Source organism: Homo sapiens, chromosome 4, assembly GCF_000001405.40.
Source record: "Homo sapiens chromosome 4, GRCh38.p14 Primary Assembly".
NCBI lineage: Eukaryota > Metazoa > Chordata > Mammalia > Primates > Hominidae > Homo > Homo sapiens.
In genome coordinates this window covers 101641035-101663927 of record NC_000004.12, presented here as the reverse complement: position 1 = coordinate 101663927, position 22893 = coordinate 101641035, and the positions used below count along the sequence as shown (strand labels likewise).

At 39.5% G+C, this 22893-nt stretch overlaps 1 long non-coding RNA gene across 1 annotated transcript; it reads left to right on the top strand.

Annotated features, from left to right (window-relative positions):
* The first annotated feature begins 18831 nt into the window (after positions 1–18831).
* Positions 18832–22541, top strand: LOC124900741 (uncharacterized). The gene is made up of 2 exons (XR_007058204.1): positions 18832–18945; positions 22116–22541. It is a non-coding gene; the product is annotated as an uncharacterized LOC124900741 (long non-coding RNA).
* Positions 22542–22893: the final 352 nt, after the last annotated feature.

Sequence of the window (22893 nt, the reverse complement as noted above, 5' to 3'; positions counted from 1 at the left end):
CACACATGAGAGGGTTCATAGGTCACCTTACATGGAGTCAAGAAAGATGTGAGTCTGTGACCAGCAAGCCCCATACACTAGCCAGAGGCCTTCAGGAGGACACACCAGGCATACCTTGCCTCAAGTCACTCATGGATAACCTAGTCCAGTTTATGCTCAGGGTAATAGACTCCTGGTCAAGCCTAGTGCAATACTCTACTCATGGGCAGTTCCTCTCTCCCATGTCTATTTACTACATCAGGACAGCTCAGTGGAGGTGGTTTTATCCCCTAACACCTCCTAGGGCATATAACTTGGTTGTCACAAATTGGGCAGTGAATGCTAGTGGCACCTAGTAAGTAGAGGTCAGGGCTACTGCTAGACATCCTACAAGGCACAGGACAGTCCTCCCAATAAAGAATTATCTGGCCCAAGATGTCCACAAAGCAAGGGTTGAGAAGCCCTGTCCTATATCTTTCTACTCCTCTGTGTTATGCTGAGAATAATGGAAACTAAGCTTATGGCCTGCCACTTTTGTTAGCTGACATAGTATCCATTTCATCCCTCATTTCTGCCAAAAGAATCCTCATTTTCTTAAGTATAAGAAAAACTTCAGTGGATTCTTGGCCCTTTGACCAGTCTAAGCCAATTTTACCAATTCCTTTTCCATTGCACTGGTTTAGCACAAGGGAAAAAGTAAAATTCCATTAAATAAGATATAAGAGTGGAAATGCTGAGAGGCTTCTGGGAAAATTTCCCTCACTCCTGAAAAACAGGATGCACTTTCTTCTCTTCTGACCTGTGGATGTTGTTTTGTTGGATGTGATACCTGAGTTGGTGTAAATGCCTTGCCACCATGGAGAAGACAGATGACAAGCTGAAAATCACAAAATGTAAAAATGGAGAAAACCAGGCCAGGCACGGTAGCTCACGCCTGTAATCCCAGCACTTTGGGAGGCCGAGGTGGGCAGATCATGAGGTCAGGAGTTCGAGACCAGCCTGACCAACATGGTGAAACCCCATCTCTACTGAAAATACAAAAATTAGCTGGGCGTGGTGACATGTGCCTGTAGTCCCAGCTACTCGGGAGGCTGAGGCAGAAGAATCACTGGAACCCGGAAGGCAGAGGTTGCAGTGAGCCAAGATTGCACCATTGCACTCCAGCTGGGTGACAGAGTCAGACTCCAACTCAAAAAAAAAGAAAAAAATGGAGAAAACCTGGGTCTTTGACATTGTCACTAAGCTGCTGAATTAATCAACTTTGGAAATGCCATGTCCCTAAATTTTCTTATCATAAGAGACTTTCCTTATCATTTTCTCATTGCTACATGGATTTTCTGTTACTTGCAGCCTAAAGCAATCTAATAAATTTCCTATGAACCACTCTGTCTCTTGAAGAAAGAAACTTGGAATACTTGATATTAGTTTTCTTAGGATTGTAGAATTCAAGTGAACTATCTGACTGGGGGGAGGTTGGTACAGGCTGAAGCTCAGCCAAGATTCCAGAGACACCCAGTGTTATAACAGCAGCATCCACCCTCCCCTAACCCCTGACAAAAAAACACCTAGGAAATTTTCTTCTGTCCTAGACCGCATGGATGTCTCCCCAGTGTGTAGAGTTGTCTACTTTGGCAAATTTCTTTAAGAATCCCAACCCTATTGATGACATAAGAACCCCATAAATGGAACCCTTGAGAAAATGACAAAAATTAACAGAAATAGCTCCTAAACTTTTCTAGATCTCTGTTTCTTTTACCTCTGTTATCATCCCGCTGATTTCACTCATGGTGTGCTTCAACACATGCCTAGGAATAATGGTGAAACCATGCTACCAAATTTCCTCAAGATAAATACACCATCTAATTACCTCAACATCATCTCTTCTCCATGGCCATTCAGAAAACTCCATAATGGCACAATTGTAAGATCTCCAACAATTCTGTGATATTCTCAACCCAGGGCCGGTGTCAAATCTCAGAGAGAGGTTTCACCATATTTTGAAATTGCAGAAATCCTGTCAGACACTAGCCCCCAGTGCTAAATTCATCGTTAAAGCAATTTCATTTTGATTTATTAAGCAGATATATTTATGAAGTATGGATATGCAATACCATTAAAATTAGCTAAAAGTATTTAGTAAAAAATATTTATTCTTTTGTTTTTAGAGCAAAACTTTATTTGAAAAAGAAGTCTAAGAAGAGGATTTGGTAACCACTGTCATCTTTGCAAGTACTATTTTCTACTCTCTCAGATATAATTTTATTTTGTTTTCAACCTATGAATTATAGATGAGATTCCTGGCATTGTTATTTGTATGACCCTAAAATCACCAGTATTTCCATTCTTCAGCTCTTCAGGAAGATCATTACAGAGTAGTTATCACTGAATCTTGCTGTCTGAACCCATCTTTTTTTTTTTTTTTTGGAGATGGAATCTTACTCTGTTGCTCAGGTTAAAGTGCAGTGGCACGATCTTGGCTCTCTGCAACCTCCACCTCCCAAGTTTCTCCTGCCTAGAGTGATTCTCCTGCCTCGGCCTCCAGAGTAGCTGGGATTACAGGTGTGTGCCACCACACCCAGCTAATTGTTTGTATTTTTAGCAGAGATGGGGTTTCACCATGTTGTCTAGGCTGGTCTCAAACTCCTGACCTCAGGTGATCCAACCACTTTGGCATTCCAAAGTGCTGGCATGATCCACTGCACCTGGCCTGAACCCATCTTCTTAATCCCAGTTTACTGATATATCTAGGACATGATTAAGGTCTCAATGGGGAAAAGCAAAAGTTGAGAAATTTTACTCAGTAATTTGTTAATTTCTGAAGATATTAGAGCTGATTAAACTGCTCCTTCTCCCATTAACTAATAAAATTAGGACTTTTCTTCTGTTTCTGAGGGTAGGCTCCCTAGAAAAATTCCACATTACATCTGATCTTCCTTTAAAGAAACATCATTAACCAAGTAAACATTTCCACTTTCCTGAACAATAAAATCTGTCATATTGCAACTGACATTCTGAAACATGCTGGAAGATGCTGCTCAGTTCATTCAAGGAACTCTTGGCACACATCTTTTGAGCCTTTTGAAAAGCAGAATAGAAATACCTGCAGTGCTAATGGGTCTATAATAGCAGTAATTTCAAGGAAAGGGCAGAACAGCATTACATTACTTGGCATTACATTACAGCTACAGCATCCCTTGGGATTTGTAGGAATGAATAAGAAGCTATTGCTATTGCAAACTTGACTTTTACAAGTATCTGTGCTAGTCATTTGCCCACGTACCATGTGTAGTGTAGTTAGAACATTGTGGTAATTGATATTTTTACTGTGTTGAATTCACATTTTCAGGGCATTATAAATATATGCAAGTATACTGATAGAATACAACTGCAATATCTAGAAACAAACCTTCCAATTAAATTAAATTGTATAAAAGGTCATTAAATATGTTCTAAATGGTTTTGGTCTCATATACCTGAATGAGTAAGCACAGGTAATTTTTATCCTTGACAGATGTTCAAAGATAAAGTCAATCTTTAAGACTATTAGAACATTTTTATCATTGATACTGGGATTAGAGGAGAAGGGTGGAAGGATCTCTGATTATTTATGTGCTTTTTATGTTAAGTCACTGAATGGTCAGTAACTTGAAAGGGAAATAGACATTGAAGGCAGACTTGTGGCTTTTATTTCTTCACTTTGAACACTTGAACATTAAGTTCAAAGAATATTCTGATTTGTGTGCAGAGATTGACTGATTGGCCCACTTGCAAGTTTTGTTTTGTTTTTTGTTTTGAGACAGAGTCTCGCTCAGGCTGGAGTGCAGTGGCATGATCTCAGCTCACTGCAGCCTCTGCCTCCTGGGTTCAAGTGATTCTCCTGCCTCAACCTCCTGAGTAGCTGAGACTACTGGCACATGCCACCACGCCTGGCTAATTTTTGTATTTTTAGTAGAGACGGGGTTTCACCATGTTGGCCAGGATGGTCTCAATCTCCTGACCTCGTGATCTGCCCGCCTCATCCTCCCAAAGTGCTGGGATTACAGGCGTGAGCCATCGTGCCTGGCCCCCATTTGTAAATGTTTTATGGAATTTGGGGGAGAACTAGAAAATCCCTTCTAGTATTTTCTATGCCTAGGTGTTAAAATATGGGTTAAGGGGGAAACTGTGTATACTACTTGAGTGTCCCGTTTGTATTTTTTAAAGGATATGATTTTCATAATTAGGTGGAAATGCTATTCTTTCTAGGTGCATGTTTACACTACAAGCCCATAGTGCTACATTTAGACAACCAGACATAAGTAGGATTGTCAAAAGTTAAGGACTATTTATCAGCACTTCGTGTCAGGAAACACAGCTCAACATGTATTTAGTGCAGACTCACTTGTCAGTGTTCAGAGTACCCCCCAAAACAAGACCATTGTTAGAGAATCCGAGCAAAGGGAAAACCAAGTGGAGGAGGAGGGATGTGCTCTTCATTTCTGAGGATGGGCAAGAAAATCTATGTGACCATAATGCAGGAGACAAAGGGAGACCTGTAGGAGGAATTCATAGGCTGTGGAAAAAGTATAAATTTTATTCTGAGTGGAATGGTAAGTCATCAGAGGATTTTGGGATGAGTAAGATAATCTGACTTGAAATTTATTAAATATAGCAAATGTTCAAAATGATCATCAATTATTAGCTACCTGAGTGAAAAAATTATAAGCTTTTCTGTCTCTGAAATCACTTACTTACACAATAAAAATTAAAATTTGATAGTTGAAGAATTACTGATATTCAAATGAAGAGAGGGTTTCAAGTCATACAAAAAATTATTTACAAGCACAGCTATGACAGGCTAGACCTTAGCGATCACCTGGTTTGGGGTCTTCCCATTTGCTCTTGATGAGCTTCCCATGAGCTCTTGAGGCACAGGGAGTTTCCTAGGATGTTTTTGGAAGCTTTACATATAATCAAATTTGTCTTCTGCTTTTTTATGTGTATCTTCACAGATAAACACACATGCATAAGGATCTAAAACTGTTACTCTTCCTTAATTAACTCTTGTTAATTAAGGCAAGGTGAATGTTGGGGATAAGCAATATTGTAAAGAAAATCCAAGGAAGAATCACAAAATGGAGCCAACATCATTATCTCTGCACTAAACTCTAATCTCCAAACTAACCCTCTCTTTTATGTAAAAAGAAGACTACATATGTATAATAACCAGTGTTAGAACAGAGTAGAAAGTCTTGCTTATATCTTTGTCCTAATTCTCTCTTTGTATGATATTAGACAGTTATCTCTGTCTCATACTCCCACTTGGAAAATAGGATAAAAGTTATCATCTGTTTCACTGAGGTGTTTATGGAAATGAATTAATTCATATGGATGAAGTATTTTGAAGATGAAATGTACTGAATAAATGCTATACATTAGCAGGTGAGTGTACATTTAAAAGAATTATTGTAACAAATAATAAAAAACTGTTCTATGGTACTTCACTGTCAATTACTTCCTTTTGTGTGACTTTACACGCTGGATTTAAAGTAATAATGCATGGTTATTCAAAATAGGAATAAGTTGTTAGGTACTTGCAATTATGTTAAGTTGTCAACTGTTCAAAAGGCTTATTCTTGTCAAACCAGGTAAAATGTTCAAAGTGCTGTACTTCCAATGAGCTTAAGTAGCTTCAATGAATTCTTATTGATAAAATAATAGTATTAAGTACCAGTGTTACGAATAATAGAACTTTAATCATATATACTAATATGTATCTTAATTTTTGCTTACAATTTCATATTTTTCTATTACATTTGGGAATAAAGAAAAATTGCTCTATAAGAATAGATTGCAGTGGATTTCAGAAATGGACTTTTGTTCAGGAGAATACTTGGTGGCCACTTTGTATGGTATAAAAGAAACCTTTCATGAATTTGCGCACTATTCTTGAAGACGAACACAGAACAAAAAAAAATTGAGGGCTGGGTGCAGGTGGCTCATGCCTGTACCCCAACACTTTGGGAGGCTGAGGTGGGAGGATTGCCTGAAGTCAGGAGTTCAATACCAGGCTGAGGAACATATTGAGACACTATCTCTACAAAAAAATTAAAAATTAACCAGGCATGGTGACATGCACCTGTACTCCCAGCTACTTGGGAGGCTGAGGAAGGAAGATCATCTGAGCCCAGGAGTTTGAGGCTGCAGTGAGTTAGGACCACACCACTGTACTCCAGCCTGGGCAACAGAGCGAGGCACTGTCTCTTAAAAATAAAAAGGAGGATGAACATGGGGAGAAGGGAGGCTTACCGAGTCAAGAAGAACACAGGAATAAGTCACAACAGGAGAGGCAGAAGTGAGGGGTCTATCATGAGTAGCTGTAAAGGAAATTGGCCCAGCGACATGCAGGCTGCAGTCAATGGATACCTTAGTAGTAGGAAACCCTGCAGAATATTTTAAGAAAACTCTTAAATTTAAATTTTTTCTCAGCTATGTGATGGTATTTAACCTCTCCAGTTTGTACCTGTCCCCCTTCCCCTTCCAAATAATATCCAGAAAAATCCATACTGCATACTGTTTCTCCTGTATGCTTTGTAAAAATCACAGCAGAGGGCTCACGGTCCATGTCTGTGCTGATCTGGGATGGAGAGATCAACACAAGCCACGGAAGGACATGCTGGTCAGACTGAGGTGGGGACTGGGAATTGTAATGGGGCACACAAATCCTGAAAATGTCCAGAATTTAGAGGAAAGATACTAGCCTTCCAAATGAGATATGGAATAGGACCATGAGTCAGATTTTTTTGTTGTTGTTGAGACTGAGTCTCGCTCTGTTGCCTAGGCTGGAGTGCAGTGATGCGATCTTGGCTCACTGCACGCTCCGCCTCCCAGGTTCATGCCATTCTCCTGCCTCAGCCTCCCAAGTAGCTGGGACTACAGGTGCCCACCACCACGTCCAGCTAATATTTTTGTATTTTTTTAGTAGAGACGCGTTTTCACCGTGTTAGCCAGGATGGTCTTGATCTCCTGACCTCGTGATCCACCCACCTCGGCCTCCCAAAGTGCTGGGATTACAGGCATGAGCCACCATACTTGGCCCATGAGTCATATTTTTCAAATATTTAAGAATAAATTAATCTCTGACAATGCAAAACTTAACCTAGTCACAGAACTCTATTACATATATGAGAGAGAAATTATTTTGAAGCCATTACTTTTATGGAAATTACATATAAAAATAAATGTCATTTATTCAAGTAGATTCTAAACTTAAAAAAATTTACTTGTTTATTTATAATCTAATTGACTTCTCTGAGTGTAAGAAGTTCTTTGTAGTATTCTTTTCTCTTTAATTTTTGAAATTCAAGAGTTACCAGCCGGGCACAGTGGCTCACGCCTATAATCCCAGCACTTTGGGAGGTGAAGGTGGGCAGATTGCCTGAGCTCAGGAGTTCAAGACAAGCCTGGGCAACATGGTGAAGCCCTGTCTCTACTAAAATACAAAAAATTAGCTGGGCATGGTTGCACATGCCTGTAGTCCCAACTACTCAAGAGACTGAGGCGGGAGAATCGCTTGAACCTGGGAGGCAGAGGTTGCAGTGAGCTGAGACTGTGTCACCTACACTCCAGCATGGACTCCATTTCCAAAAAAAAGAGTTACCTTATTCTTATCTTTCTGGGTCTCAATTTCTTATTTCTTCAATTCTCAATTTTCACTTCCATTATCAAACTCATAAGCCAAAAGAATAAGTAGGGCAGCCTACTTGCCCCATTAGCCCTGCAGGGTGACTCATGTATCTCCAAAACTATAGAAACCAATCCTCTGCTACAGAGGTCATTTGATGAGCAGAAAGGGCAGACATCCCAAGTAGTTAAAGGAGTAAATGTTTTATCTATGCCAATTTATAAATTATTTATTAGGTGACTAAGTGTCACAGAGTAGCATGGAGTTTGACCTCCTGACCTAGTGCTCTGTCACAGTGTAGCGTTCTTCCATGGGCTGTGCTGCATAATCAGACTTTCTCCAGGCCCATGTTTCCATAAAGTATGCTCCATCTCAGGAAGCAGTGAAGAGTTCTTTTGCTTAGATACACACCACAATATAGGTTTTCCTTCATAGTGGACATTTCTGCACATAACACTGTATCACTCTTCTGGAAACTGGTATTTTAAGGAAGCATGTGTCTCTCAGTGTAACTAAGTAATACTAAATAGATAAGATATATAACTCTTTAAAGACTTTGTTTCATCATGTTAAATGCAGAAATACACACGCAGTTGTCAAATTCATCTTTCTAAATGATCTGTGTGCACCATAATCTGGTTTAGACAAAAATACCTGTCTGCAGTAACTAGGCTCCATGATGGCTCCTGATAATCCTCGCCTCCTGGTATTCACACTGGTGTGCAGTCTCCTCTTATTCTATGCCAGGCTTGATCTATGTGACCCACAGAATAAGGCAGAGTGGTGATATGTAAATTCTAAAATTCGATTATAAAATATATTGTGGCTTCCATTTTTGTTACTTCTCTTGGTGCTTTTCCTCTCATTCATTTGTTCTGGGAGAAGTCATGTGTCAGCAGCCCTATGGAGAGGCTCACATAGCAAGGTACTGAAAGTCCTGCCAATAGACCCTTGAATGAACTTGGAAACAGATCCTCCAGTCCTGGTCAGGTCTCCAGAGACAGCAGGCAACACCAGCAGCTTGAGGGACCATAGCCACAACCACCAGGGTAAGGTACCACTAGATTCCTGGCCCTCAGAAATTGGTGACGTAATATTTGTTGTTTCCAACTGCTAAGCCTTGGGGTAATTTGTTACATATCAAAAATAACAAATATACTTTCTTATCTCCTTCCTTTGGCAAGTACATGCTAGGACAAAATAAGGCTTTGGCTGGTGTACAGCATGTTATATTCCTGGGCCAGGTGTAGAAGTATGACATTGCTAACCTGTCGCAACCAGAAGTAGTTTCAAGAAGCAGTGTCTTAAGGAAGTTGCAGGTGAAGACAAAGTAGACAATTTGAAATTAACATGCTGTTTTCAAATGGAAAAAACAGAGAGATTGGACAAAGGAGAAAATTTAAAAGTGATGTAGGTGGGGAGAATAAAGACTTGAAAACTTCTGAGAATATGGGATTATCCTATCTGGTTTATGTGTTCTTGAAGAGGGCATGCTAGAAGTATTTTAAAAGGTTGCTCTTAGCAAATATTAATCTGACTTTCAAGGGCTGCCATCTTTGGAATCAATCTTACTATTTCTCTTTACCACTAATTCCATTTCTCAGTTTCAAAGAAATGTAGAACTTTTTAATCTCTTTTTAAATAAAAGTCATTACATCCAGCAGGCATTCCCTGTCTCCTACTCATATGTCCTCTTGGACTGCACCTATCTTTCAAGTTTAATCTGATTCATTTTCCCCTTTGAAATTTCCCCTAACAACCCAATTCTTAGAGATTGCTCCCTCCTGTTATGAAGAAATAAGTATCCATGACACTCACGTAATACCTTCGATTTTCATGCTTAACTCTACAATACATAAGCAATTTCTAGAAGGCAGGAAGTTTACATAATACATTATTATTATTATTATTATTATTATTATTATTATTATTATTATTGATATGGAGTCTCGCTCTGTCGCCCAGGCTGGAGCGCAGTGGCGTGATCTCGGCTCACTACAACCTCTGCTCCCGGGTTCACGCCATTCTCCTGCCTCAGCCTCCTGAGTGGCTGAGACTACAGGCACCTGCCACTACGCCCGGCTAATTTTTTTGTATTTTTAGTAGAGACGGGGTTTCACCGTGTTAGCCAGGATGGTCTCGATCTCCTGACCTTGTGATCTGCCTGCCTCAGCCTCCCAAAGTGCTAGGATTTCAGGCATGAGCTACCGCGCTCGGCCTTTTTATTTTTTTAAACAGAATTTCACTCTTGTCGCCCGGTCTGGAGTGCAATGGCATGATCTCGGCTCACTTCAACCCCCGACTCCCGGGTTCAAGTGATTATCCTGCCTCAACCTCCTGAGTAGCTGGGATTATAGGTGCCCGTGACCATGCCCGGCCAATTTTTGTATTTTCAGTAGACACGGGGTTGTGCCACGTTGGCCAGACTGGTCTCAAACTCCTGACCTCGTGATCTGCCTGCCTCCGCCTGCCAAAGTGCTGGGATTACAGGCGTGAGCCAACTCGCCCAGCCACCACTCAGTATTTTTGATGGTGTAGTCTTTTTTATAGATACACACACACAGAGGCATACACACTCACACATACACATATGTGTATACGTGTGTGTGTTATGTGTTAAATGGAATCAAACACTATATATTTATTATGTATATGCTTGCTTGTCTGACAATAAACAACAAAACATATTCACTGAATACCACATTTACAGACTTGGAGCCAAGCCTTGGGATACAATTTCTTGATGTAGCACTACATTAATACAAGGTGTTTTTTCTTTCTTCTGAAAGCAATATTTCACTTATTTCAGTCTTATAGGATATTTCTATCAAAAGCAACATTATAATTATGGGCAACGTTCTCAGTTGATATGGATTAATGTCATGTCATAAGCAATATCATCTACCACAAAAGAAATAAAACAACTATGGAACTATTTCAGTGGCATTTAAATAAAATGGATAAGGAAGTCAACTTGGTACTCAAAAGCCATGTAGAACTTACTTAGTTTTTCAATATTGACCATGAGATGGGCTATTGCTCCTTGAAAATCTATTGCCTTTCTTTTTCTCATGACTAGAAATGGCTCCGAAAGACAGAAAATGACAGTTTCTTCTCTCTTTCCCTTCTAATTTCTCTTGTTTTTCTCTCTCCTTTTCTGTAATTAAAAAAAAATACTCATAGGACTTAACTATTCACTTTGATAATCTATGAAATGGGAATAATAATAGTAGTTAGCTATGATGATAATCTAAGAATTTAATGAGAAAAGCCCTTAAAACAACGCCTTGCAAATGATAAGCACTTAAAATGTTACTACGTATTACATCTGTCTTGTTTTCTCATCCTAATGCCCACACTTTTGAGTATGTATGTGTGTGATCACATAGACCTGAATACATGCTGACTTTCTTTAAACTAAGGAACACAACTCTTACAGGATCCTTGATGCATGAGCTCTCCCCAGGTCTCACTCTTGATTACTTCAAACAAGGGCCAGTTATATCATTAATTAAGCAGGTAAGTATGAATTTCTTTTTCTTCTTCTTTTTTTTTTTTTCTGAGACGGAATCCTGCTCTGTTGCCAGGCTGGAGTGCAGTGGTGCAATCTTGGCTCACGGCAACCTCTGCCTCCCGGGTTCAAGCAATTCTCTTGCCTCAGCCTGTCCCGAGTAGCTGGGACTACAAGCGCGCCACCACATCCAGGTAATTTTTGTGTTTTTAGTAGAGACGGGGTTTCACCATGTTGGCCAGGATGGTCTCGATCTCTTGACTTCATGATCCGCCTGCCTTGGCCTCCCGAAGTGCTGGGATTACAGGTGTGAGCCACTGTGCCTGGCCCTAAGTACGAATTTCTTTCAAGTAAACCCAACAGATTGTTTCTGTTCAACAGAAAATGTTCATTTAATTTTTTAAAATAGTACAGCTGAACAATTACTAGAAGGAAACAATTTGGATTGCTTGGAGGCTGGTTAATAACGCAGGCAAAAACTTGTAATTGATATCAAAGATTTTTTTTCTGTTATCAAGAGTGAAAGGTTGGAATCTATATATTCACAATCTACAGCAAAAGCGAGCAAACAAACAAAAAAACCATATTAAAAGCCCTGACATTTGATCTTCATATTCTCCTAGTACTCTCTTAATACCTGTTAAATGTGCCATGATCCTGGCTGTGTATTATGACTACTAAATCTCGTATGAGAATGCAAGGTCCTAATCCCTAAATAGACTCACTATTGACTCAGGAATCTCACAGACCACATGGCAGCTTGGATATGATTGCCCTCACCCACTGTCACAGCTGCAGCCAAACCTGAATTCCCGGAGCATGCTTTCAATGACTGAATATAGTGGCAGCCACTTAAGCAGTCCCAGCTGCCCCTCAGTCATGACACTCACCCTTAGACAGAAGGATCAGCTCTGGGCAGGCAAATGGCACTTTGGTCATCTCTCCTTTCTTTGCCACTTTTTCCCTTGAACAAGCCATCTCCGAAACCCACCTCCCCCTTCAGAATTCTTATGTCATCTTTCATCTCCCTGACCAAAACTTAATGTCTAGAAAGTATCCAGTAATCTTTTTTGGCTGGGCGTGGTGGCTCACTCCTGTAATCCCAGCACTTTGGGAGACCAAGGGAGGCGGATCACAAGGTCAGGAGATCAAGACCATCCTGGCCAACATGGTGAAACCCTGTCTCTACTAAAAATGCAAAAATTAGCTAGGTGTGGTGGCACATGCCTGTAAGCAAGACTCCGTCTCACAAAAAAAAAAAAAAAAAAAAAAAAATCCAGTAATCTTTTTTAAGCTCAGATACAAATAACCAAGATTCTTTGAAGTATTATTTCTCCAGGTATTTGTATTTATTGGGGACCAAACCTTAAAAATGGAATGTATCTATAGAAGTCTAAATTGAAGCATCACTATTAAATTACTGGTAGGTAGCTGGGGGACCAACAGTCTTTGAAACCACATCACCTGAATTAGGCCATCCTATTGGCCAGTGTTGGATTTGAGAAGACAGTGATAATATCTGCTATATTCTGATATAATCTGATAATATTTTGCTTTGCATCAGCTGAACAACCCTGACATTTTTAGAATGCTCAGATCTGCTTTTCTAGTACCAGAGAATGACTATAAGATCAACAGGTAGGGAAAACTTCAGATAGAGAAAAATTGGAAGTTATAAAGAAGATAGAGTGTTTTAATAACAACTGCATCTAACCAGTTTTTAGGAACTTACTCATTTTATAAATGTAATATTCAAGAGAAAACTGAATAATTTTATCAAATCCAGTAATTGTTATTTATGTACATTGAGAATTCACTCATCAATATTTATTGGCAACCTTCAATGTCCCAGGTGACCTGTCATGCTTTCTTCTAATCCTTGTCCTTATCCATGCAGAATTTTAAATAGTTGTAATCATGGCATATAATTTTATTTTTCTTGCACTTACTATATCATAAGCATTTTTATGTGCTGTTATTTAGATATGTGACTTACATTCAATATATTTTCAGAAAAAAATATCTTTTTAAAATTAGTCAAATGAGAGGTGGCTATGAAATGAGAAGCTCCCAGAATTAATGGGAGGCATTATTAATGCCATGAGAGCCCTTTCCATAATTCCAAACTATTTTACCTGGAAAATTTCCAAGGAACATCATCATTTGTGCCCAGTGCAAGAATCAGGCAGCTTTGATTGGATTAGAGAGAAGCTAACAGCCCTCTGAGAATTTATTAGGTATAATTTATTTACATACTAGACATTATTAGTATGTACTCATAAGGCATTTTGCAGAATGCTCTTCATAAAACAGCAACAGCTCTAGTGAAAAACTGTTTTGTTTCCAGTATAGCTTCTAGAGGCTTTAAGTCTTCTCTGTCAAGGTTCCAGTGACTTTTGGAAACCAAATGAGAGTGATGGATTTGCCAGACCAAAGGCTTCCTCTGTATAGTCATGAGCTGCTAAAGGCTGAGCTTCAGTGTTTTTTTTGCCTTCAAATGAAAGCAAGCTGCATAGAGACTAGGACTTGGCAGGGCTGTGAAGTGAGCAGAGGAAGGGCGAGTATGAACAAGCAGGGAATGCTGGACTCCTACTAGGCTGTCTATCTAGCTAAGATGATTATGATTCAAGGAGGAAGTACAAAATGGTATTAAGGCTCTCTTCCTCCACCCTTAAAAATGTGGGTGAAGATAAGCTACATTTTCCCAGAATCTGCTCAAAACAAGACAAAAGCAATGTACTGAGCCAGGTGAGGAAGAAAGGCAGTGCACCCCACAGACAAGACTGCCCTGGTTGTACGGTGCTACAACATGATCTCAGTTGCTGTTAAATAAGTTTCGCAAGAAACTGAAGAATGGAAAGACAAGAGGTATGTGGATTCTGTGAATATGATATAAATAGAAGAAAAGAGTGTATTAATGTGAAAGGGTTTTTTCCTCTTTTTGCTCTTTTTTTAAAAAAAAATTTTTGACAGAGGGAAGTTGTTGCAATAAAAATCCATCAATGATCAATTCTACTCTCTTTGTCATTTTGCCTTGTGCTACATAGAACCCCAAATCAGTCACTACTAAAAACAGACAAACAACATCCACCCACCTTTCTCTTCCCACAGCTTTGACTAATGCCTCTGCCTCTGCCTCTTATAATAGGGGGGATCAGCCCCTGATATGTCATGAGTGGCACCCAGGATACTAACTATAGAACCCTCACTTCCTAGTCCTCTTCTTGGCCTCAACTCCTGCTATACAAGAGCTGGCCTTAGAAAAGCCAGCTTGACAAACTGTTATAAATTAGCAACAATAGTTGTTTATTGAAAGCCTATTATGTGCCTGCCTCAGGTCCACCCAATTCCAAAAGCTCTTCTCTTGCTTTGGAACCACATGTACTATTTTTGGTCAATATCTCTTTGTAGGCTATAGGTATTTTTTTAAGGCAGGGCAGCAGAAAATTGAAAAGGTTCCTTTACCCAAGGACTCCTCAGACATTTCAACTGTCTCATGCTTATGTGTATATACAAGAGGACAGTTGTGAGGAGGATGCCTCAAACTCCTGGGCCACGCTACTTCTCTTTTTCCTTTCCTTCCTTTTATTTCCTTCTCCTCCCTGCTCCTCTCCTCCTCTCCTTTTCCCTTCTCTTCCCTTCCATTTCTCCCCAGGTCCTCACAGTACTGCTCACAAAGATAACATGGCAAATATATTTAAAAGATAAATGTGGTCTATATAAATTTATTACATACCAAAGCTAATAACACTATATGAAATATTCCTAAGGCCTGTATCTTATGATTTTTCAATGAATTAAAACAGATAATTTGGTTGCAAAGTTCTTGTAGAACAAAAAAGTATATTTAAAAAGAAAAATTAAAGTGACCCAATAGTTTTCTTGTGTTACAAAAACAGGTCAAATTTCTGCTATTAGAATAAGACAAAAGTTGAATACAGAACTAAAGAGACGAATAGCTACCTTGGCATATTATAAATTCATGTTATCTTATTTCAAAGGTGCTTTCACTGGTGCTTGGCAAACTTTCCTTCCTTGTTCATTTCATAACCCATTTTGTAGAGCAGCTGTTCTGATCTTTCTGTTTTCCTTAGATCCCAATCCTGCTTGTGCCAGCCCCCTTCTTCCCACCTCACCCCAGTTTTCAGCAGATGACCTGACTCCTGCCCCACCAGAGAAGCAGGGCGCAAGCAGCACGGATTCCCTCATTGACCCCCACACTCCGTTCTCACACCCCTCTATTTCCTACTCCACCTGCTCCTCCCTCATTTGGGGCACTTTGTGCCCTCATTTTACCCTTCCCCACTAGCATCTCCAGTCTTCCCTTATACATGTGCTTTCTACCTTTAACAGAATCACACTTTCTTCCACAACCCCCACCCTCTTTTCTCACTTCTGGGAAAAAAATATCAAAGCCTAAATTATAATCTATGAAATCTCTGCCTGAAGCATCCACCCAGTTTTGTTTGTTTATTTTTAGTAGTGGCTGGTTTGGGGTTCTATGTAGTAAATGTGAATAGTTAGGAAAAAGATATTTTCTATTTCCGTATTTATTAGTCCTGAGGGTTAAAATGCAATTGAGTTCTACAAATGTATCACAAATTTAAGTCTGAATTCAAAAATTGAATTATATAAGAAATTCTGTGTCTAGGTGAAGTCCTTTTACCTGAGAATAGAGGGGGAAATCTGACACTCTTCCCAGCTCCATGGGATTCCTTTTTTCGGGGGAAAGTGGGGCAGGGCAGACAGGCCAGGGCAGAGGGAGGAGGAGGATCTATGTTCTGGGAGATGGGAGACATCAGACCCTTAATTACCACTTTCTGAGATGCCCACCATCCCTGACTTCAGTGATTGTCCCACAAAGTCACAGATGCATTCTTTCTTTTCTCTATCCAGGAGGCAGAGCAGGGCTCAGAGCTCAGCAGGCCTCTACTCACAATCTCTCCCTCTCCCTCTGAGTTCCTCTCTCACTACCCTCCTCACTCCCTCTCTGTCCCTCTCCCTTTCTCACTCTCCTTCCCTTCTCCTCTCTTCCTTCCTTCCTTCCTTCCTTCCTTCCTTCCTTCCTTCCTTCCTTCCTTCCTTCTTTCCTTCCTTCCTTTTGGTCTCTGTCTCTCCCTTTCTCTGGGTCTCTCCCTATTCCCACCCCCAGTCAGCCCAAACACACTGCTCAAGCCTTTCCTCTCAGGGGTCTTCTAATCTCCCTGGGCTCTATCTGGCAAAAGAGACACACCTTCTGCTATCACATTCCTCCCCAAATTTCTCTAGGGTTTGGTCATGCCTGTTAAATCTCAGCACACTCCTGTGGAGCAGGGAACAGGTCTCCCCTTTCTCAGATACCCACACTGTGGCCCCTCTTGCTTCACCTTTGCCTCTTCTCACTTCCGCGGCCACCACACACACCACACACACACACACACACACACACACACACACACAATCCTCAGGGAGTTGCAAGACTTGTTCTGACTTACCAAACACTGTCTCTGCCCTGAGGTCTCCTGGGGTACAGGGCTTTTGAAATTCCACTGAGCTTCTGCTATAACATTCCTTCCCTAAGGCAACTGATGCTGCACATTCTAGATACCCAAATTACTTGTTAAAACTACAAAATACCATCCTGCCACAATGTCTGTTTCCATTTACTCTAAAACTAACCACACTGATACATCCAAACAGGATGGTGATCCGAGCTTCACCCACAGCCTGGGCCAGACGGTGCACAGCCCATGGCTGCAGTCACACTGCAGGCTCTGCTTTCCCACAAAGTCACCACTACCCACCTGTTCCACTGCTTGCTCTCTAAGACTGCTTCAGTGGCTGTTTAGCACTGAGGCATTGCAACCACTGTTGCTCAGCATGGTCCTCCAGGACTCCAAACATCATGATCCTCAAGAATCTAATTTTAATTCTCAATGTTTCCTGTAAGTCACAGCCCTTTTGCTCAGGCAGAATAGATTTTCTACTGACATCAAATGGTCTGACCTATAATACAATATCAAGATACCTTGGCTATTGTGGGTGGACAATTTCTTCTATAGAAGAAACAGTATCTTTCTAAGAGATCTTCCTACTTCTGCTCTTCATCCCATTATGCATCCTCCCCTAAGTCTGTTTCCATACAGTAGTTAGTGGAAGACTTAAACAAATGAAGTCAAAGCATAATGCCCATCTGCTCCTTTCAATGGCTCCCCACATGATTGAGAGGAACAGCCAAATCCTTATGAGGGTCCACAATGTCCTATGTGATCTGGTTTCCTATCATCTCTTCCAACAATCTTCCTTTATGCTTACCCTACTTATCAGATTTAATATACCTCATATATTATTATATTTATTGTTACTAATTATCATTGAAACAGGATCTCACTCTGTTGCCCAGGGTGAAGTGCAGTGGGGTGATCTTGGCTCACTGCAGCCTCTGCCTCCCCAAGCTCAAGTAATTCTCCCACCTCAGCCGCCCAATTAGCTGAGACCACAGGCCCCACCACAATGTCCGGCTAATTTTTTTATATTTTTGGTAGAGAGAGGGGTTTCGCTATGTTGCCCAGGCTGATTTCAAACTCCTGTGCTGAAGTGATCCACTGCCTCAGCCTCCCAAAGTGCTGGGATTACAGGTGTGAGCCACGGTGCTCAGCTTCATACATTATTATTTATTTACCATGTTTATTTCTCCCTTCACTACAGTGTAAGTTTCATGAGGACCGTGATTTTTATCAATTGCCTTTTTACTTCTTTATTCTCAGCACCAGGAACCATGCCTAGTAGGTAGCATTCATACAACAAAGATTTGTGGACTGAATGAATGATGCATGAGTCCCTAGGAGCTGGACCAGGGGCAAAAGCTGTGTCACTCTTCCATATGCTATCAGTAGCACTCCTTCACTTGATTTTCCCAAAGGGAAACGTATCTTTTTGTATCTCCTGTACTCAGGAGGAATCTCTGTTATCTCCGTTTCTTTTTGTGAGGGATTTGGGTTGGTGTCAGGGTCCTTTATGCCCCACAGATTTTTCAAATCTGAGTTAATAAGCCCGAAGAGTTCCACACAAATCAAAATCTTGATGCTGTATTAAAAACATCCTACAGTTTCTAGAAAAGCATGTTCCTCTCAAAAACCAGAGTAACAATGGAAATAAATGCCTTCCACTGAGCATTTTCTCTGTCAGTTATGGCACTGGGTGCTTTATATACATTAAATTTAATCTTAAGAAGCACCATGTAATATAAGTATTATCTCCATTTTACAAAGAAACATGAGGCCACGAGAAAGGAAATAATATTCCATAGTTTACAAAACTAAGGATCCTGTAGCTCAAACATATTTCAGAGATTTTGTGTGCCCCTGCAACTCCTAGGAAGACATCTATTTTAAAGACAAAAAGCCTCTCATTCTCACTCACTCCTATGCTCTAGTGTGCTCACAATACTGAAACCTAGGTTGCCAGTACCTGGCAAATACCTGGTGTGTATATATTTTAAATAAATATTAAATTCAATTAAAAAATCAAAGTCCAAACTATGGAGGAACATTATATTTTGACCGGATGTAATCCTCAAAGATAATACATTAGATGCTTTAATGTGTCTTGGAATGACAAGTGATTATGGAAAATTTAGACATGAATTAGTCTCTGGCTAGCATACGAGGAAGAAAGATTTAAATTACTATAATTTTAGATGTGCAGCTGTGTTATCATGGATTTCCAGTGAACAAGGGCCACAAAAATCCATCTATTTTCATCATCCCCAGAGCACCAGGACTACAACAATAAGAACAGCTCTATGGAAATGGTCAGTATGTCAATCTTTTGTTGTTGTTTTTGCCAGCAGTCCCTGATAGAATGAGTTCACCCAAGGAACACAAATGGAGACTATATTACATTGCCATAGATCCACTTGCTTTATGAGTGACCAGGCATTGATGTAGCTGTTTTTGTCATAGTATAGCCACATCGTGCCTAGGTACTATATCCCTGCACCACATCCACACATATTAGAGATCCTAAAACATTCAGTATTTCCAGAATACAACAAAATCCTGGCAAAGGCCCAGCTGTATATTTTAGTTTTACCTCTTGATTGAGTTGAATGATTTCCATCATGGCCATCTGGAACTATGACTAGGCTTAAAATGGTTTCTAAGTAGAAACACCACACTAGCTAAAATATATTTCTAAGACCAATTTTCCATTTGTTTAGAAAACAAATGTACTCAACCTAAAAGGAAAGAGATTATTTGAGCCTCCATTTAATCCCCAACAATTTCATTGTATTATTTGCTCTTTTTCCTGTCCAACTGGAGATACTGCCTTTCTCTAGGAGAATTCTTTCTGCCAGTTGTGAGACTTGGGAGGTCAGGATTCTAGGGCTACTACTGCCCCAGCATCATTAAGGAAACACAGTTTTTATGCTGGTCTCCAATTTTGTATTCCAAACTTATTTATTTCTTTGGAGGACATCACATCCTACTCTCAAAGAGAATCTCTTCACTCACATTTACTTTCTTATAGATAGAATTCTCAAATATCTATATGCTGATGACCTGTTTCCTTACCAAAAACTCTATTGAGATAATAATACACATTCTTAGAGAAACATCATAGTGAATTACCATACTCTGATAAACTGTCAAATTGGGAAGCAAAATACCTTATTCATCAGTTCCAAAAAACCTGACAGAGTTTGTTATTCTTTATTATGCAATCATAAGAATCAAAATGATGGAACGAAATATCTGAGCAAAACGGAGCAATTCTAGGTTAATATAGCTAGATGTGATATTCCCAGAGATCAAATTACTTATTTTTCAACTTGTTTTTTTAATTGGATGCTTCTAGAATTGATTTCAGATGTCTAAATTTGCAGACCAAGATTAATTAGGAAAGAGATAACTACTATCTTGATCCAAAACTTCTTGGAAAGTTCAAAGAATGAATGACAAATATTGCCAAGAGAATAAATTCAAAACATAATAAATTCTCCTTAAGATGCAAAACCATTAATATTATACCTCCTTATTTGTACTTGTTTACTTTTAAAAAGCCAGAGTCAATATGAACAAATTCATTCCCAATCAAGTCTGTTTTGCTTGACAGTGACAGTGATGCAAACATGTTCAGACCTCACTCCAGTAAGACACTTCCAGGAGGAATGCAGTCCCTACCTAAGAGAAGTCTGCAAGTTGAGAATATGAATGTAGTCCTTTCTGCTATGAGGTTTTTTGGAAGTAGGGCATGTCACAAAACATCTTGGCATTCTACCCAAGAAGCAAGCTTTCAAACAGCATTTCTTTCTTACAGGTGTTGAAAGGTGCTACTCCCCAAACAGTAAACAGCAGTGATTCATTAGCATAAGGGCGTAGAAAAACAGAACTGTGTGAATGGATTATTCTATTGCTGGGAGTTGCGGTAATGAGTCATCATTTCTACTCAATATTCCTCCCTTCTCATTTTGAGTAGCTGCTCTTCTTGAAGGAAGACCTTATGAGGAAGAGACTTTATAAACCAGAACTGGGAAATGATGTCCTTCAGCTTTGACTCAGAAACTTGGCTGAGGAAATTCAGCAACACATACCAATATTTAAAAGTTGAATGCAGCATTTTCATTAACTTTGAACAATCTGATTTTTCTAATTAATTTCTACACAGACTAAAAAAATCTAAAATTTCTCCCCCAAAAATGTTTAAGGCTAGGGTGACCACAGGTTCCTTCCATAAATTATTTTGCCTTTAAAAATACATTAGGATCCAAAGCCCAAAGATAAATTTTGTATGCATTTGTTCTAAATACATGGATGGAGATTTCTTTTAATTAATTATATTTAGCTGGGAGAATTTGTCCTGATCAATGATTTGAAAGGCTCTTATAGCAAGGAAATGGGATGAAGAGAGTAAAGGCTCTAAGGGATCTTATCTGGTATAGAGACGAACTTAATGTACCAGCAACTTTCTCAGAGCCATAGCAAACATCTATATTTGCATCCTTAAAATTCCTAATTTCTAAGTTTTTGGAAGAGCAACTGTTAGCTCTACCTTCAAGACCTACATCTTAATTTATGCTCATGTCCAGCAGACAATGGTATGAAGAGAGAGGAGTCGGGTGGTAAATAATGTTGTGAATAAGACAATACTTCTGTTCTTGCTTGTCTAGTTTTAACAAAAATGTGCCTATGCCAAATCTGGTAGTAGGATGACAGCTAGGAAGCCAGCTGAGAGGCATCAGGGAATTCGTGGGAACTGCACTAGATTGAGAGTCGGGAAGGTTTGGGTCTTACCTCAGCTCCCTCACTAACTGGCTGTACAACCTTGGCAAAGCCTCTTAGTGCTCAAGTCCTTCTTTTCTGATCTTTAAATTGAAGGGATTTGGACAAATGAGACAGTTCTAGCAAGTTTCCTCATCATATGCAAATTTCTAGCTAAAAGAGACAAAGCTAAAGTGAGAATACAACGTGGTCTGTCATTTATATTCCAACAAGGAAAAGGAGCCAAAAAATTTGTGTTAGGGAAGGTTGCCCTAGGGTTTGTTGCCTTTAATAGCATCTTTATATTCTGGGCAAGCCTTCTTATACATTTTGGGAAAAGGCAAAAGGAAAGCTTTGAAGTTGATTCACATGAAAATACTTCCTCTGTTAGACAGAAACACTCAGATATAGACATCTAAGTGTGGTTGGTAAACATAAATCCTAATCAAGGATTATGAATAACAATGTCAATGATGATAAGTTGATGAAAGTTAATGATTACTTTGAGAGGTACTGAATTTTTCTAGTTTTCTTTAAAATCTTCATAAATCATAACAGTTTTAAAGGCAGTTTTGAACAATATAGCCAATAACTACCATCATAATATCCAACATGTTTTGAAGTCATTGCAATGTATTTGAGATTTTAGATGCCTTCCATTTATTCTTGATAATAACTACATAAATATTGAATAAGTAATATCATTACTTTCATTCTACAGATGAGGAACAAGTTTCAGAGAACAGAAGGAATTTGTCTTGGGCTGCACAGTCACTAAGGAGAGAGCAGGCACCCAAACTGTGCCATTCCCTGTCCTCTTGGGAGCTATACTCTTCTGTATCCCTGCTTCTGTTCAACGTATCTGGCTCAAGAGACATTTACAAAGGAAGGAAACACTCGTTGTATGAAAAACAAACATGATATAAACCTGTTTCGTTAGCTTTCAAGACTACCCTACCCAGGGGTGGCTACCCTAAAGAGAATAGCAAAGTTGATAAGAGAAAGAATGATAAAACTATCAGATTTCTCCCTATCACATTTTTCAAAATATTTCACCACATCTGAAGAGGTATTTTTCATTCATTTTCTGTAAGATAGTAGAAATGAAAGTGGTCTAAAACGCTAAATAAAAGGGATATTGTTTGTATTTATTACTTCTTGAATGCAGTGTATATTTAGAACTCAGAACAATGGTTGTATTTAGCCTATACACTCCTTTTAAGAAATTCACCCCATGTATGTGGGCAGCCTTAGATCCTAGATTCATCACAGCTTCTATTTGTGAACCATTAGTTTGTATCCCTCTTTTGACAACCACCTTGGAAAATAATTTCTCTCTCATGCAAACCTGTCCCACCTTATTGAAGGCCCACTGTAGCCTTTACAACTTAAAACAGTTCTCTGTACTGAAGTAGTCATGTTACTAACTGCACGAATGACACTAGCAAGTTAAAACAACGTGAATTCTTAATGTATGTCGGATTTAAAATTCTTTTGAT